The following is a 15,942-nucleotide window of genomic DNA, read 5'->3' on the forward strand; positions in this document are numbered from 1 at the left end:
TCCTGTGAGCCCAGGAGTTCAAGACCAGACTGGGCAATACAGCAAAACCCTCACTTCTACAAAAATAAACAATTTATCTACAAAAAAAACCAATTATCTACAAAAATAAACAATAAAAATAAACAATTATCTACCTCTACAAAAATTAACAATTATCTGGGTATGGTGGCATGTGCCCGTAGTCCCAGCCACTCGGGAGGCTAAGGCAGGAGGATCCGCTTAAGACCAGGAGTTGGAGACCAGCCTGGACAATATAGCAAAACACTATCTCCTCAAAAATTAAAATAATAAAATTTCTGTTAGTCTGTGCTATGGTCTAAATGTTTATGTCCCCCAAAAACTCATATGTTAAAATACTAACCCGCTAGGCGGGGCCTTTGGGGGTGATTAGGTTACAAAGGCAGAGCCTTCATGAATGAGATCAGTGCCCGTAATTATGCAGCCGGGCACAGTGGCTCATGCCTGTAATCCTCCCTTTGGGAGGCCAAGTCGGGAGGATCACCTGAGGTCAGGAGTTCAAGACCAGCCTGGTCAACATGGTGAAACCCCGTCTCTACTGAAAATACAAAAATTAGCTGGGTGTGGTGGTGCATGCCTATAGTCCCAGCTTGGGACTGCCCAGGAGGCAGAGGTTGCAGTGAGCAGAGATCACGCCACCGCACTCCAGCCTGGGTGATAAAGCGAGACTCCGTTTCAAAAAAAAGAAAAAGAAAGAGGCCTGGGAGAGCTCCTTTGCTCCTCCGGCCACGTGAGGTTACAGAGAACAGACAGCTGTTTATGAAGCAGGCCCTCCCCAGACATCCAACCTGCAGGATCTTCACCTTGTACTTCCCAGCCTCCAGAACTGTGAGAAACACATTTCTGTCATTTTCAAGCCTTCTATTACAGCAGCCTGCATGGGCTGAGATAGTCTATGAGTATAAAGCCATATCCCACTGTTTTTCATTTTCATTGGTTCATTAATTAAATGAACTAAATTTCTTTCGGTTATGTAAACTGCCTGATCATGTCTTTTGCTCACTTTCCCGCTGGGTTGTTGGCCTTTTTCTTAGGATTTATAGTTCTTTACACATCTGTATACTAAAGTAAGTTTTAAATATCATCTCCCAGGCTGGCTGTAATCACAGCACCTGGGGAGGATGAGGTAGGAGGATCACTTGAGGTCAAGAGGTCAAGACCAGCCCAGGCAACATAGCGAGACCCCATCTCTACAAAAAAAGTTTTAAAAATTAGCCATGTGTGGCAGCCCATGCCTATAGTCCCAGGTACTAAGGAGGCTGGGGCAGGAGAATCACTTGAGCCCAGGAGGTTAAGGCCGCTATGAGCCATGATCACGCCACTGCACTCCACCCTGTGTGATGGTGCAAGATGCTGTCTAAAAAAAAAAAAAAAAATTATACACACACACACACACACACACACACACACATATACTCACACCATCTCCTAGTCTGTAACTTGCTTTTTCATTTTGTCAAATGGGTGTGTTCAGAAATAGAACTTTGGATGTTATTTATTTTGAGACAGGGTTTCACACTGTCGCCCAGGCTAGAGCTGGAGTCCAATGACATGATCGTAGCTCACCGTAACCTTGAACTCCTGGGCTCAAGTGATCTCCCACCTCCCACCTCAGCCTCCAGAGCAGCTGGGACTGCAGGCATGCACCACCACGCCCAACCTTTTTTTTATTTTTTACTTTTTGTAGAGATGAGATTTTGCTGTGTTGCCCACGCTGAACTTGAACTCCTGGCCTGATGCAATCCTCCCACCTCAGCCTCCCAAAACGCTGGGATTACAGGCATGAGTCACTGTGCCTGGCCAGAAGTTTTGATGTGAATGGACCGTCATCCCTCAGTATACTTGGGGGATTGGTTCTGGGATCCTCTTGTATACCCAAGTCCATACATACTCAAATCCCATGGTCGGCCCTGTGGAACTCACATGTCTGTGTCAGCCCTCCATATACAGAAATTTGCAACCTGTGAATATGGTATTTTCAACCTGAATTTGGTTGAAAAAAACACATATAAGTGGACCCACACAGTTCAAACCCATATTGTTCAAGGGTCAACAATAATTGGATTTGCCACTCTTTGCTTTTAAGGTCAGTGCTTTTTGAGCCTTAAGAAATCTGTAATTGGCATGCCTATCCTCTGGCAGGTCTTTTTGCAAAGTGACTTCACTATTCCCCCATCAGAAGATAGAGTAGGCCAGGCACGGTGGCTCACGCCTATAATCCCAGCACTTTGGAAGGCCGAGGCAGGCAGAACACTTGAGGTCAGGAGTTCGAGATCAGCCTGACCAATATGGCAAAACCCCATCTCTACAAAAATACAAAAATTAGTGGGGTGTGGTGGCATGTGCCTGTTATCCCAGCTGCCTGGGAGGCTGAGGCAAAGAATCGCTTGAACTCAGGAGGCAGAGATTGCAGTGACCCCAGATCCTGCCACTGCACTCCAGCTTGGGCAAAAGAGAAAGACTCAGTCTCCAAAAAAAAAAAAAAAAAAAAAAAAAGGAAGTAGACTCATTTCCGCAGCCCCTGAATCAGAGCCAGCCCTGTGACTTGCTTCAACCAACAGGCAGAATCGATGCTGTACAATTTGTGAGTGTCAGCTTCAAGAGGTCTTACAGGGGCTGGGCACAATGGCTCACTCCTGTAATCCCAGCACCTTGGGAGGCCAAGGCAGGAGGATCACTTCAGGCCAGGAGTTCAAGACTAGCCTGGGCAAAATAGCAAGACCTTGTCTCTACAAATAATAAAATACAAAAATTATCCAGGTGTGCTGGCACATGCCTGCAGTCCCAACTACTCGGGAGGCTGACATGGGAGGATCGCTTGAGCCCAGGAGTTTGAGGCTGCAATGAACTATGATTGAAACACTGCACTCCAGCCTAGGCAACAGAGTGAGACCCCATCTCTTTAAAAAACAAAAAAAAAGGCCAGGCACGGTGGCTCACGCCTCTAATCTCAACACTTTGGGAGGCCTAGGCGGGTGGGTCACTTGAGGTCAGGAGTTTGAGACCAGCCTGGACAACATGGTGAAACCCCGTCTCTACTAAAATACAAAAATTAGCCAGGCGTGATGGCATGTGCCTGTAATCCCAGCTACTTGGGAGGCTGAGGCAGGAGAATCACTTGAACCCAGGAGGCAGAGGTTGCAGTGAGCCGAGATCACGCCACTTCACTCCAGCCTGGGTGACAGAGTGAGATTCTGTCTCAAAGACAAAACAAAACAAAAAGTCTTAGTACATTCAAGAAATAAGAAAAGTAAATGTATATACATACATACACACTTATAAAAGGGCTTGCGGATTCCATTCTCATTCTCTTGGTACCCCAAGATCCCAATGCTATGAAGAAGCCCACATGATGAAAGGCCATGGGGGGAGAGCGAGGCCTAGGTGGCCCAGCAAGCACAGCCAACCCACCAGCAGAATACAGCCCCTTGAGGGATCCCAGCTGAGACCAGTAGAGGAACCACCCACCCAACTCACACAACGTAGGAAGTAATAAATTGTGGCAGTTTGAAGTCACTACATTTTGGGTGGGTTTGTTACACAGCAAAGGCTACCTGAAACCACGTCCTTTCCAATTTCAAAGCCATAAAGATAGTCCTTATGATTTCTAAAAAGAGTAAAGTTTTCTATTTTTAGGTCTTCAATCCATCTGGATTTTTGTACATGCTATAAATCAAGTGTCTAATTATATTTCTCCATATAGTAAGCCAATCGTCCCATCATCATTTTTTGAATATTCTATCCATTTCACACAGGTTGATAATGCTACGGCTGTCACACTCCAAGATCCCACGTATGTTTAGCCTGTTTCCAGGCTCTACTCTGTTTCAAGGGTCTTACTGTCACATGTGAGAAATACAATTATGTATATATTACATAGAAATACACAATGTCATTTTAAATTTTCTAGTAGCACATTAAAAAAGAAATAGGGGGCCGGGTGTGGTGGCTCACGCCTGTAATCCCAGCACTTTGGGAGGCCGAGGCGGGCGGATCACGAGGTCAGGAGATCGAGACCATCCCGGCTAAAACGGTGAAACCCCGTCTCTACTAAAAATACAAAAAATTAGCCGGGCGTAGTGGCGGGCGCCTGTAGTCCCAGCTACTTGGGAGGCTGAGGCAGGAGAATGGCGTGAACCCAGGAGGTGGAGCTTGCAGTGAGCCGAGATCCCGCCACTGCACTCCAGCCTGGGCGACAGAGCGAGACTCTGTCTCAAAAAAAAAAAAAAAAAAAGAAAGAAATAGGGTGCAATTAATTTTAATGATATATTTTATCTTAATATATCCAAAATATGATATTTTCAACATGTGACCATTATTTATTTTGTTTTTTAGAGACGGGGTCTTGCTATGTTGCAGTGGCTATTCACAGGCACAATCTCAGCTCACCACAGCCCTGAACTCCCAGCCTCAAGCAGTCCTCCCATTTCAGCCTCCCAAGTAGCTGGGACCACAGGTATATGTCACTGCACTTGACTTGATCATTATTTAAAAGTTATTGGCTGGGCACAGTGGCTCACACCTGTAATCCCAGCACTCTGGGAGGCTGAGGTGGGTGGATCACCTGAGGTCAGGAGTTCAAGACCCTGGCCAACATCATGAAACCCCGTCTCTATAAAAATACAAAAATTAGCCAGGTATGATGGCAGGTGACTGTAATTCCAGCTACTTGGGAGGCTGAGGCAGAACTGCTTGAACCCAGGAGGCAGTGGTTGCAGTGAGCCGAGATTGTGCCACTGCACTCCAGCCTGGGCAACAGAGCAAGACTCCATCCCCAAATAATAATAATAATAATAATAATAATAATAATAATAATAATAAAAAGTTCTTCATGATGGCCGGGCACAGTGGCTCATGCCTGTAATCCCACCACTTTGGAAGGTCAAAGCAGGTGGACTGCTTGAGTCCACGAGTTCGAGAAAAGCCTGGGCAACCCCATCTTTACAAAATACAAAAATTAGCCAGGCTACTCGGGAGGATGAGGCAGGAGAATCGCTTGAGCCCAGGAGGCAGAGACTCCAGTGAGCTGAGATTGCACCACTGCACAGCAGCCTGGGTGACAGAGTGAGACTCTGTCTCAAAAAAAAAAAAAAAAAAAACTGTTATTAATGATATATTTTACATTTTTTTATTCTTAAGTCTTTAAAATCTAGTGTTCATTTTACATTTACAGCACTTCTCGATTCATACTAGCCACATTTCATGTGCTCAATAGCCACTAGCAGCTATTACACTGGACAGGGCAGGGAGAGACCACATATGAACATTTATTTTACATGACTACAGCTTCATAATAAGCCTTACTAACTCACAGAGAAAAGCTCCCCTCCAGCTTGTTCTCCAAAGGTTATTCCTTGTCCTTTACAATATCAAATGAATCAGAATCACCTTGTCAATTACATGAAAAATCCTATTAGGATTTTTATTGGACCCGCACTAAATTCATGAATTTTTTTTTTTTTTTTTTGAGACAGAGTCTCGCTCTCTCACCCACACTAAAGTGCAGTGGCACAATCTCAGCTCACTGCAACCTTTGCCTCCCGGGTTCAAGCAATTCTCCTGCCTCAGCCTCCCAAGTAGCTGGGATTACAGGCACCCGCCACCACACCAGGCTAATTTTTGTTTGTTTGTTTGTTTGAGACAGAGTCTTGCTCTGTCACCCAGGCTGGAGTACAGTGGCATGATCTTGACTCACAGCAAGCTCTGCCTCCAGGGTTCACGCCATTCTCCTGCCTCAGCCTCTCAAGTAGCTGGGACTACAGGCGCCCACCACCATGCCCAGCTAATTTTTTGTATTTTTAGTAGAGATGGGGTTTCGCTGTGTTAGCCAGGATGGTCTCGATCTCCTGACCTCGTGATCCGCCCGCCTTGGCCTCACAAAGTGCTGGGATTACAGGCATGAGCCACCGCGCCCAGCCTGCCGTTTTTTTTGTTTTTCGAGACAGAGGTCTTGCTCTGCTGCCCAGGCTGGAGTACAGTGGCGCAATATTGGCTCACTGCAACCTCTGCTTCCTGGGTTCAAGCAATTCTCGTACCTCGGCCTCCCAAGTAGCTCAGACTACAGACTACACGCCACAACACCAGCTAACTTTTTGTGTGTATTTTTTGGTAGAGACGGGGTTTCGCCATGTTGGCCAGGCTGGTCTTGAACTCCTGGCTTCAAGTGATCTTCCTACCTCGGCCTCCCAAACTGTTGGGATTACAGGCGTGAGCCACCACACTCAGCCCTATAATTATGAATTTTATCATCCACATACATGGTATATCTTTCCATGAATGTCTTCTTCGATGTCCTCCGACTTTTCCATAAGGATCGTATACGACTTTTATTAGACTATTTATATATTCTGTATAGACTTTGCTGCTGTTGTGAAAGGGGTTGCTAAAATTAGATTGCTTATTTTAGGTAAGGTTCTAAAAGCAAAAGCCAAATGGACTTACATCAGAGTCACGCTGTACAGATAAAATAAGAATCAGTATGGAACACACCTACCACTACCATCAGAACTGGGACTTCTGAAGCCAGAGAAGACCCTTCCATGATTCATGACTGAAAGGTCTGTGAACGGCCAAAAGAAGATTACAGGTCAGTGTTCAACTCACTTTAGGAAGTAAGCTGTTTGAAGGATGTTGCTGTCTGCAGACTGCTCCATGCTGCTAACTAATGTGAACCAGTGCTTTGTGTGTTTCATGAAACATTCTATAGCTGCTCCTCATCACCCCTGGTCTGCTCCTCTGAGCCAATGAGCTCTCAGAGGGGGTGCCTACAAAATGGGCACAGAAAAGGAAATCAGATTTCTATTTTTTTTTTTTTTTTTTTTTGAGACAGAGTCTCACTCTGTTGCCCAGGCTGGAGTGCAGTGGTGCAATCTCGGCTCACTGCAACCTCCACCCCTGTGATCAAGTAATTCTCCTGCTGCCTCAGCCTCCCTCGTAGCTGGGATTACAGGTGTGCACTACCACTCCCGGCTAATTTTTTTATTTTTAGTAGAGACGGGGTTTCATCATGATGGCCACGCTGGTCTCAAACTCCTGACCTCAAGTGATCCGCCCACCTCGGCCTCCCAAAGTGCTGGGATTACAGGCGTGAGCCACCATGCCCAGCCAGGAGATCAGATTTCTAACCACGTCATCCCACCTCTCTGAGCCTCCATCTGGGCCTGCACCACAGAGAATGCTAATACCTGTCTGCAGGACTCTTATGAGGGTCATTTCCATGCCACCTTCACTATCTGTGACATGCAGTACTGCATATCAACATAGCACCAGTTACTGCAAGCTCACATGGGACCTTTGTGAGAATTAGAAACAGGCACCCGACTTCCCAGGGGGCGCAGCTCTGTGCAAGGGCACTAGGCTAGTGAGCAGCTCCTAGGTAACATGCTGCACGGCCCCTGCTGCTGGGCAGTGAACAACCTGCCCACAATGTGAGCACAATTTTGCCCAACAATTACACATAATGGCTCTCTTGCTAGTGTTTGACATTTTCCTTCAATAACTTATTGTCTTTATAAAAATGTATTTTCCTTTCTGTTTTATTTTTGTTTACTTTTGTAGAAATGGAGTCTCGCTGTGTTGCCCAGGGTGGTCTTGAACTCCTGGCTCAACAGGCATATGCCACCATCCTTGGCCTAAAATTTATTTTAAAAAGAAATCTTATTACTACTTTAAATAGAAAAATGGTATCACTTCCAACGAAGAGAAGATCATCTTAAAGTTAAAAATTATAAAGGTAATTACTGTTATTTAAAACCTCATAATCCCAGCACTTTCGGAGGCCGAGGTGGGCGGATCCAGCCTGGCCAACGTGGTGAAACCCCATCTCTATTAAAAATACAAAAATTAGCCGGGCGTGGTGGCACACACTTGTAATCTCAGCTACTCAGGAGGCTGAAGCAGGAGAATCGCTTGAATCCAGGAGATGGAGGTTGCAGTAAGCCGAGATCATGCCATTGCACTCCAGCCTGGGCGACAAGAGTGAAACTCCGTCTCAAAAAAAAAAAAAAAAGTCATTAGATGCTAAGCTTGAGCCTGGGGCCTTCTCTCTTCATTAAAATGAGAAAATCAGCAACTATTTAAAAAGCGTAAAAGTGAATTTATCCTTGATACAATTAAATGAATGAAATATGAAATAGGAGCTACTCTCTCACTATGTAACAGGGATCCAGAATGCTTCCTTGGGAAAACACTATGCATACATAACTGCATGATGAATTCTATTCCTTGGAACTAATGGTAAAAATAGCCACCATTTGGGAGAGTCCTTGTACCAGGCACTGCAATAACTTCTATACATCCTCATCTTTACTTACTTACCTTCATTTATTTATGAGTTGGGGTCTCACTCTACTGACCAGGCTGGAGTACAGTGACACAATCATAGCTCACTGCACCCTCAAACTCCTGGCCTCAAGCAATCCTCCCACCTTAGCCTCCTAAAGTGCCACAATTACGGGTATGAGCCACCTGGCCAAGCCTAAATTTTTTGTTTTGTTTTGTTTTTGGTAGAAACAGTGTCTCACTATGTTGCCCAGGCTGGTCTCAAACTCCTGACCTCAAGTGAGCCTCCTGCCCTGGCCTCCCAATGTGCTGGGGTTACAAGGCATAAGCCACTGTGCCCAGTCTTATCTTCATCTTTTTTTTTTTTTTTTGAGACGGGTCTTGCTCTATCACTCACACTGGAGTACACTGGTACAATCACAGCTCACTACAGCCTTGACCTCCTGGGCTGAGGTGATCCTCCTGCCTCAGCCTCCCAAGTAGTTGGGACTACAGGCATGAGCCACCATGCCTAGCTAATTTTTTTTTTATTCTTTGTAGAGATGGGGTCTCACTAAGTTACTTAAGCAATCCTCCTGTCTCGGACTCCAGGGTGCTGAGATTACAGGCGTGAGCCACCGTGCCCAGCTAATTTTTTAATTTTCAGTACAGATGGGGTCTCGCTACATTGCCCAAGTGATCCTCCTGCCTCAGCTCCCCCTAAGTGCTGGGATTATAAGTGTGAGCCACTGCACCCAGCACTCATCCTATCTTAATGCTCACAATAACTCTAGGCAAGTAGGTATCACTAGCCTGTGTCACAGATGAAGAAACTGAGATGCAGCTGGCTGACTCAAGGATAAATAAGAGCCATTCATTCATTCATTCATTTAGTAGAGATGGTGTCTCGCTATGTGGCCCAGGCTGGTCTCATACTCCTGGCCTCAAGTAATCCTCCCGCCTCAGCCTCTCACAGCGCTGGGATTACAGCGTGAGCAACCATGCCCAGCCTAAGAGTCATATTTTATTTCAACAGAAGAAAAGTCCACAAGACAGACAGCCACACAGGCCCCTCAACTAATTCCCCAGGTCCAGCCAGAACTGTCTTGGCTGCAGGTGCCCTGGGTTCTGCTTGAAAAAGGCCTGTGAGCTCTCCGCCAGTCCTCCTAGGGAGAAGAGACTAACATAAAAATGGTCGCATATAATCCCTGCCTGGGCCCCAGGGGTGCCTCTGCAATAACTCAGCTATTTGAATCATTAAATTCACTTATTACTGGAGCCCAGATAATCCTTTTATGAGTCTCCACCACAATGAGATAATGCAATTTTGCTGGGACAGAGTCACAAGAACACAAAACTCTTTCTAGTTCCTGACATAGTTGGTTCTATGTGGCACATTGCAAAAGTAAAGATGCTCTGGATGAAAGCCATGTGAGAAACAGGATGCAATATGGTCAGACTCAAGCTGGGAAAAGGCGCTCCTTCTGCTTCAGAAAAGATGCTGGAGGAACACCAATACTTCCACCCCGCAAGATGAGGCAACAAGGACAGGCTTCCATGGACGAACTAAAAACAGAGCTGGGAGGTAAGGACCAGAGACAGAAGAAAACAGCAGTGGTCGGGCGTGGTGGCTCACACCTATAATCTGAACACTTTGGGAGGCCAAGGCAGTGGATCACCTGAAGTCAGGAGTTCAAGACCACCCTGGCCAAAATGGTGAAACCCCGTCTCTGCTAAAAATACAAAAATTAGCTGGGCGTGGTGATGGGCACCTGTAGTCCCAGCTACTTGGAGGCTGAGGCAGAAGAATTGCTTGAACCTAAGAAGTGGAGGTTGCAGCGAGCCGAGATGGCGCCACTGCACTCCAGCCTGAGTGACAGGCTGAGATCCCGTCACAAAAAAAAAAAAAAGAAAGAAAATGAAAAAAACGGCAGGGAAGGGGATGAACTAGAGGATGGGAAAGTAGTAAGACTCCAAGCAGAGGCCAGAAAGGGGCAGAACAGCAAGAGACAGGAAGGTCACTGAGTGCCACATCAAAACATGCAGGTCACATGCAAGAACTGTGTAAACACACCACGCCCTTAACAAGCACTGCTGTGCGGACAGGGCCTGCTGTTATCCAGCCCCAAGTCATCTGCTTTATCTTGGACCTCAGTCTTCTTGGTCACTAAAGACTGAATCCTCTGTCCAGGAGTAGGGATTCAAAGAGCTCTGTCCTTTCATCCGTGCTGTCACATGAAAAAAAAAGAAGAAAAAGGACCTCTGTCCGACACTGTTCTCAACCTTTCTGTCCTAGTGTTAAAAATACGTAACATGCAGGGTGCAGTGGCTTGGGAGGCCGAGGCGGGCGGATCACCTGAGGTCAGGAGTTTGAGACCAGCCTGGCCAACATGGCAAAACCCTGTCTCTACTAAAAATACAAAAATTAGCCGGGCATGGTGGCAAACCCCTGTAATCCCAGGTACTCAGGAAGCTGAAGCATAAGAATCACTTCAACCCAGGAGGCGGAGGTTGCAGTGAGCCAAGATCATGACACTGCACTCCAGCCTGGGCAACAGAGGGGGACTCTGTCTCAATAAAAAATAAAAAATGTAAATTAAAATTTAAAAAAGGGCCAGGCACAGTGGCTAGCACCTGTAATCCCAGCACTTTGGAAGGCCGAGGCGGGCTGATCACTTGAGATGGAGTTCAAGACCAGCCTGGCCAACATGGTGAAACCCTGTCTCTACTAAAAATACAAAAATTAGCCAGGCATGGGCACCTATAATCCCAGCCACTAGGGAGGCTGAGGCAGAAGAATCACTTGAACCTGGGAAGTGGAGGTTGCAGTGAGCCAAGATCACACCATTGCACTCCAGTCTGTGTAACGGAGTGAGACTCCATTTCAAAAAATGACAAAAAAAAATCTGTAATATGCCAGGTGCAGTGGCTCACACCTGTAATCTCAGCACTTTGGGAGGCTGAGGCTGACAGATGATTGAGCCCAGGAGTTCAAGACCAGCCTGAGCAACAAAGTGAGACCCTGTCTCTACAGGAAAATCAAAAAATTATCTATGGGTATGGTGGCACACACCCAGCCAGGGGAGGCTGAGGCCAGAGGATCACTTGAGCCCAAGAGGTCAAGGCTGCAATGAGTTATGACTGCACCACTGCACTCTAGCCTAGGCGACAGAGGAAGACCCTGTCTCCAAAAAAAAAAAGTAATAATCTCATATGATCTGGTGCTTAATGCCAGAGTTGAATTCTTACATAAGGGTAAATGCTTAAAAAAACAGTTTTATACCCTGTCAAGTTTACCTGCAAGAATTAGTTTGCTGGCTGGGCACAGTGGCTCACACCTGTAATCCCAGCATTTTGGGAGGCCAAAGCGGGTGGATCACTGGAGGTCAGGAGTTTCAGACCAGCCTGGCCAACATGGTAAAACCCCGTCTCTACTAAAAATACAATTAGCTGGTTGTGGTGGCCCACACCTATAATCCCAGCTACTTGGGAGGCTGAGGCACGAGAATCTCTTGAACCTGGGAGGTGGAGGTTGCAGTGAGCCGAGATCGGGCCACTGCACTCCAGCCTGGGCAACAGAGTGAGACCTATCTCAAAAACAAAACAAACAAAAGAATTAGTTTGCTATTTTAAAATAACATGCAAAGAAAATGGACTTTTTCTTGTAAAACTGGAAAGATAAGTGAATCTTCTTATAAAACTTCTTTTAAAAAATTCCATCCCTGCCTGGGCTCAAATGATGGGAAAATGTACAGAAAATCCAGTTGAGTTAGCTGGAGATACCAAATACCTCTAAATGTGAGTTATCTGCAGTTATTCTATGAACAGGAGAGCCATGTGAGGCCTCAAACTAGTATTTCAGGGAGCAGCGTGCACACTCGTGGTTTTGTGGTCTTCAACCGTCCTGCTAGCCCAGATAAGTCTGGGTGGTCAAGAACCGTCTGGTGACAGCGTGCAGCCCAGCTCAGCAGAATTCAGCATGGGGGAATTCAGCCTCCTTAGAGATGCACTCCCTGCTGAAATCTCACTGCGATGGCCGTTCCCGCCCTTCCGGGGCTCTGACCAAACACTCTGACCAGGAACGCTTCCCAACAGATAAGCAGTATTCTCCATTTGGTCTAATTTATGATTCAGAAGGAAAAGGCGAAAAACGAAAACTTTCTATTCATCTATTTTTCACACCAATGGAAGCAATGTGGTGATGTATGTATGCTGTTACAGTCACTTGTGTCCTCCTGACCTATAACATTTAGAGATCCTGTCCATATTCTTCTCAAAGCTTCTCATTAAAGCACCCAGCCCTGCGCCTGGTTCCCTGCAGAGATGGAGTAACTGCTCACCCACTTGAACAAAACGATAGTGGGGCATTAAGAGGAAGCCCCAGCTCCCAGGGAGAGGTCATCTCTCACAAGAGCTGGAACTCCACTGTCCATATCCAGGGTAGGTGAGGGGCTAACCCCAGGTCATAGCCAAGCAAGCACAAAGGCAAAAAGCCCAAAACAATCAGGATGCTCAGTGCCAGCCCAACACAGTGATAGCTGGAATGGGCAGGGCTAGAGAGAAGCCAGGACTGGAACCAGGGCGGGACCATGCAGGGAGCGGGAAAGTTTGGAGGAGCACAACAGCCCCTCCGAATGCCACCGCATCACCCTGTTCCCGGACCACAGGGAGAAGAACCACCATGCACCCTCCACCAGTATCTTGGGCAGATGGGCAGGAGCTCTAGGGCCGCTTCTCAGTGTTCCTCAGATGGAGAATCAACCTCAGGACAAATCAAGTCTGGATCCTTCTGGGCTGAATCCTTTCTAGGATTGGTACCTATCATGACATGGTCACATTCCTCCACTCCTCTATGAGAGGATGGAGTCATTGGACACCAACCTAATGCTGGCAAATGACAGACAGGAAGAGCCCCAGCAGGGCAGATGCCACAGAAACCTTAACTGGGACACAGAAACATCACTAACAAAGACCCAGCAGCTGTCTTGGTGAGGGAGACACAGTCTAACAGTCACAAAGAGGCACAACGGAGACCCTAACCCCCGGCCCTCTGCAGACACCTCTGCCTGCCCTCCCAGGGAAGCTGCCGGCCAAGATTATTTCAGGTCACCAGGCAAGACTGGGTGTAACTTGGGAATGTAAGTCTATCCAATGTCAGATCCCCAGGTGCATTCCTGTCCCTATGGCTGGTCAGAAGAAGTCTCTGCTCCTGCTCCCATCCTGCATCCCCTCCTTCCAAGGCCTACGGGCTGTGCCTCCTGGATCTGCCCCCTGGATTTCACTCACGCCTGTCCACCAGCAACACAACAAAGCGATCTTTCCAGCGCCGAGCTCTGCAGGATTCCTCAAAGGATTCCCCTGCACTCCCCACCAGGTGAGCCCTCAACTTCTCTGCTAGGTGCTCAGGACCTGGCACATCTGGCCTCTGGCCACCTTTGCAGCTTCCTCACCCTCTGCTGTCTCCAAAGCTTCCCCCGAAGGGAAAGAGTATTTTCCCTCTTTCCACCCATTTTGTCCTGAAAACTACTATCCCCCTGGGAACGACCCTATGTAGCGTGTGGGTGGCTGAGAACCCCCCTTCCACACAATGGTCAAGGCCAGGAGTACCCAAGCCCTGGCAGCAAACACCCAGCCTACTGCTCACCCAGTTAAAGGACGGACCCCTGGGTGACAGCAGGCCCCGGGGCTCAGTACACCGGACCCTTAGGCCACCTCAACACCAGTCCTCATGCCAGGCTGATCTCGAAACGTAACAGCTACTGCTCAGCAAAACGTGGTGGCTAGTGCCTGTAATCCCAACACCTTGGGAGGCCAAGACGAGAGCATGGCTTGAGTCCAGGAGTTCAAGACCAGCCTAGGCAACCTGCTAGACTCCATCTCTACAAAAAAAAAAAAAAAAAATTAAAAATTAGCCGTGCATAGTGGCATGCGCCTGTAGTCCCAGCTACTACAGAGGCTGAGGTGAAAGGATTGCTTGAGTCCAGGAGTTTGAGGCTGCAATGAGCTATGATGGCATCACTGCACTCCAGACTAGCCAACAGAGCCAGACCCTGTCTCAAAAAGAAAAAAACGAAAAGAAAGAAAAGAAAAAAAATATCCACTGCTCTACTCTTCGGCCAGTGGGAAGAGTGCATTTTTTAATCAAAATAGGGGCCTCTATCCATGAAACCCATCAACTTGTAAAATCTGAGCTCTCTGCAGCCTCACAGTCCCTCCAGCACTGCCAGCAGCCCTCGTTCCCTGCATGCTCTAAATCCTCAGCGAAGACCCGTCCCTTGCTCCCTCGCCCAGCACAGGCCGCGAGTGCCCACGTCCCCTGCACCTCGTGGGGCAGCCAAGGGGGCACCGCGTGGCTCGTGTGCTCCTGGGCAGTCCATTTTCAACCACAAGACGGAACAGACTCAGAATCCGGAACATCTCTCGGTGCTTAAGAGTTTTCCTTTAACAATCTTTACCTGTGGGAATGCAGAGACCCCCCCGCCCTGCGAGAGGCCGGCAGCCAGGGATTCCCCGCTCCGCGCCCTCATCACCCCCCGGAAACCACAACCGCTGCGCGCGCGGCTCGGACCCCCACCCGCCGCTCCCCTCCAGCAGACCCTAGGCCTCCGGGAAACCGCGCGGCGACCGCCCCGCGCCCCGCCAGATCCGAACCGCCGGACCCGGCACCCCGGCCACACCCGCCGGTGTCGACGCAGCGAGGCTCGGAGGGTGCATTCTCCGCGCCGACCGCTCCCCTCCTCCAGACCCGAGGGGCGGAGTGGGCAGGGCGCGCCGGCTGCGCACCGGGCACCCACCTGGGGACGCGGGGGCTGGGGCGGCGCGGGGCCACCTGGCGGACCCGGGAGCGGACTCCGGAGAGCAGGGAGCCCCTCCCCCCTCACTCTCCGGGCCCCGCCCGGCCGCCGCGCCCCGAGGCGCAGCCATCCCGCGGGAGGGGAGGCGCAGGAGGAGGCCAGCGCGAGGACACTTACTTAAAAGGCTACATCGCTTCATTCCCAGCCCATCCTGGGCGACGGCGGCACCTCCCTCGTCCGCTGCTGGGACCTCGATGCCCACCACCCTCGCGCGGCGATCTGGCCCTATAGCCCACCCCTTACTCCGCCGTGGGGCGGAGCCGCGCCACAGCTGACCCAATGAGAAACCGTCGTTTCCCAGAGTGACGTGTACGCAGAGCAATCATGGAGTCCAGCCCAGCCGGGGGCGGGGCTCAGGCGGCTCCCTACGCTTCCTACTCCAGCTGGCCCCGCCCCACGCCCGCAACTGCGCGTGCCCAGAACGTGAGGGGCGGGGCTGGGAGCCGGGCTGACACTAGAGGTGGGGTTAGCGCTTGGAAGCACCGACCAACGTGAGCGCAACGCGGCAGGGACACCTGACCCCGGCGGCGCCCAGCCCCTCGGATTGCCAGTCACTGCTCGCTTTGGGGCACGGAGGTGCCCAGTCCTGCGGGGCACCCGACGTCCTGTCGCCGACAGGGTCCGGGAGTCAGTATAGCTGGGTTCTAGTCCCATCACAGGCAAAAACTCCGCGGGAGCCTGGCCCGCTTTTTACCTGGGCCTCAGTTTCCCCATCCGTAAAATAGAACGGGTTGGATCTCCCGAGCGCTAACATTCCAGAACTCGGATGGGGCGAAGGGGAGGGAGGGATGGGCCACCCACACGTGACCTC

The 15,942-nt window shown here is 49.1% G+C and overlaps 1 protein-coding gene across 1 annotated transcript in view, besides 5 other annotated features; it reads right to left on the minus strand.

The window, feature by feature from the left end:
• Nucleotides 1–15,358, minus strand: part of ANKRD27 (ankyrin repeat domain 27) — a 78,175-nt gene extending 62,817 nt beyond the window's left edge. Inside the window, exon 1 of the mRNA NM_032139.3 lies at nucleotides 15,249–15,358. The gene's annotated coding sequence lies outside the window, so the exon portion shown is untranslated. The remainder of the gene's footprint in view (nucleotides 1–15,248) is intronic.
• Nucleotides 14,843–14,892: a silencer, noted in NCBI's record as "silent region_10483". NCBI's record gives its function as "represses an Ori minimal core promoter by ATAC-STARR-seq in GM12878 lymphoblastoid cells {active_cell/tissue: GM12878}" and the evidence as "EXISTENCE:reporter gene assay evidence [ECO:0000049][PMID:35858748]".
• Nucleotides 14,913–15,642: a silencer, noted in NCBI's record as "silent region_10484". NCBI's record gives its function as "represses an Ori minimal core promoter by ATAC-STARR-seq in GM12878 lymphoblastoid cells {active_cell/tissue: GM12878}" and the evidence as "EXISTENCE:reporter gene assay evidence [ECO:0000049][PMID:35858748]".
• Nucleotides 14,913–15,905: a biological region, named in NCBI's record as "H3K27ac-H3K4me1 hESC enhancer GRCh37_chr19:33166014-33166633".
• Nucleotides 15,286–15,905: an enhancer, noted in NCBI's record as "H3K27ac-H3K4me1 hESC enhancer chr19:33166014-33166633 (GRCh37/hg19 assembly coordinates)". NCBI's record gives its function as "activates a minimal SCP1, AML or CMV promoter by ChIP-STARR-seq in naive H9 embryonic stem cells {active_cell/tissue: H9 hESC(naive)}" and the evidence as "EXISTENCE:reporter gene assay evidence [ECO:0000049][PMID:30033119]".
• Nucleotides 15,793–15,902: an enhancer, noted in NCBI's record as "active region_14431". NCBI's record gives its function as "activates an Ori minimal core promoter by ATAC-STARR-seq in GM12878 lymphoblastoid cells {active_cell/tissue: GM12878}" and the evidence as "EXISTENCE:reporter gene assay evidence [ECO:0000049][PMID:35858748]".

Source organism: Homo sapiens, chromosome 19, assembly GCF_000001405.40.
Source record: "Homo sapiens chromosome 19, GRCh38.p14 Primary Assembly".
Lineage (NCBI taxonomy): Eukaryota > Metazoa > Chordata > Mammalia > Primates > Hominidae > Homo > Homo sapiens.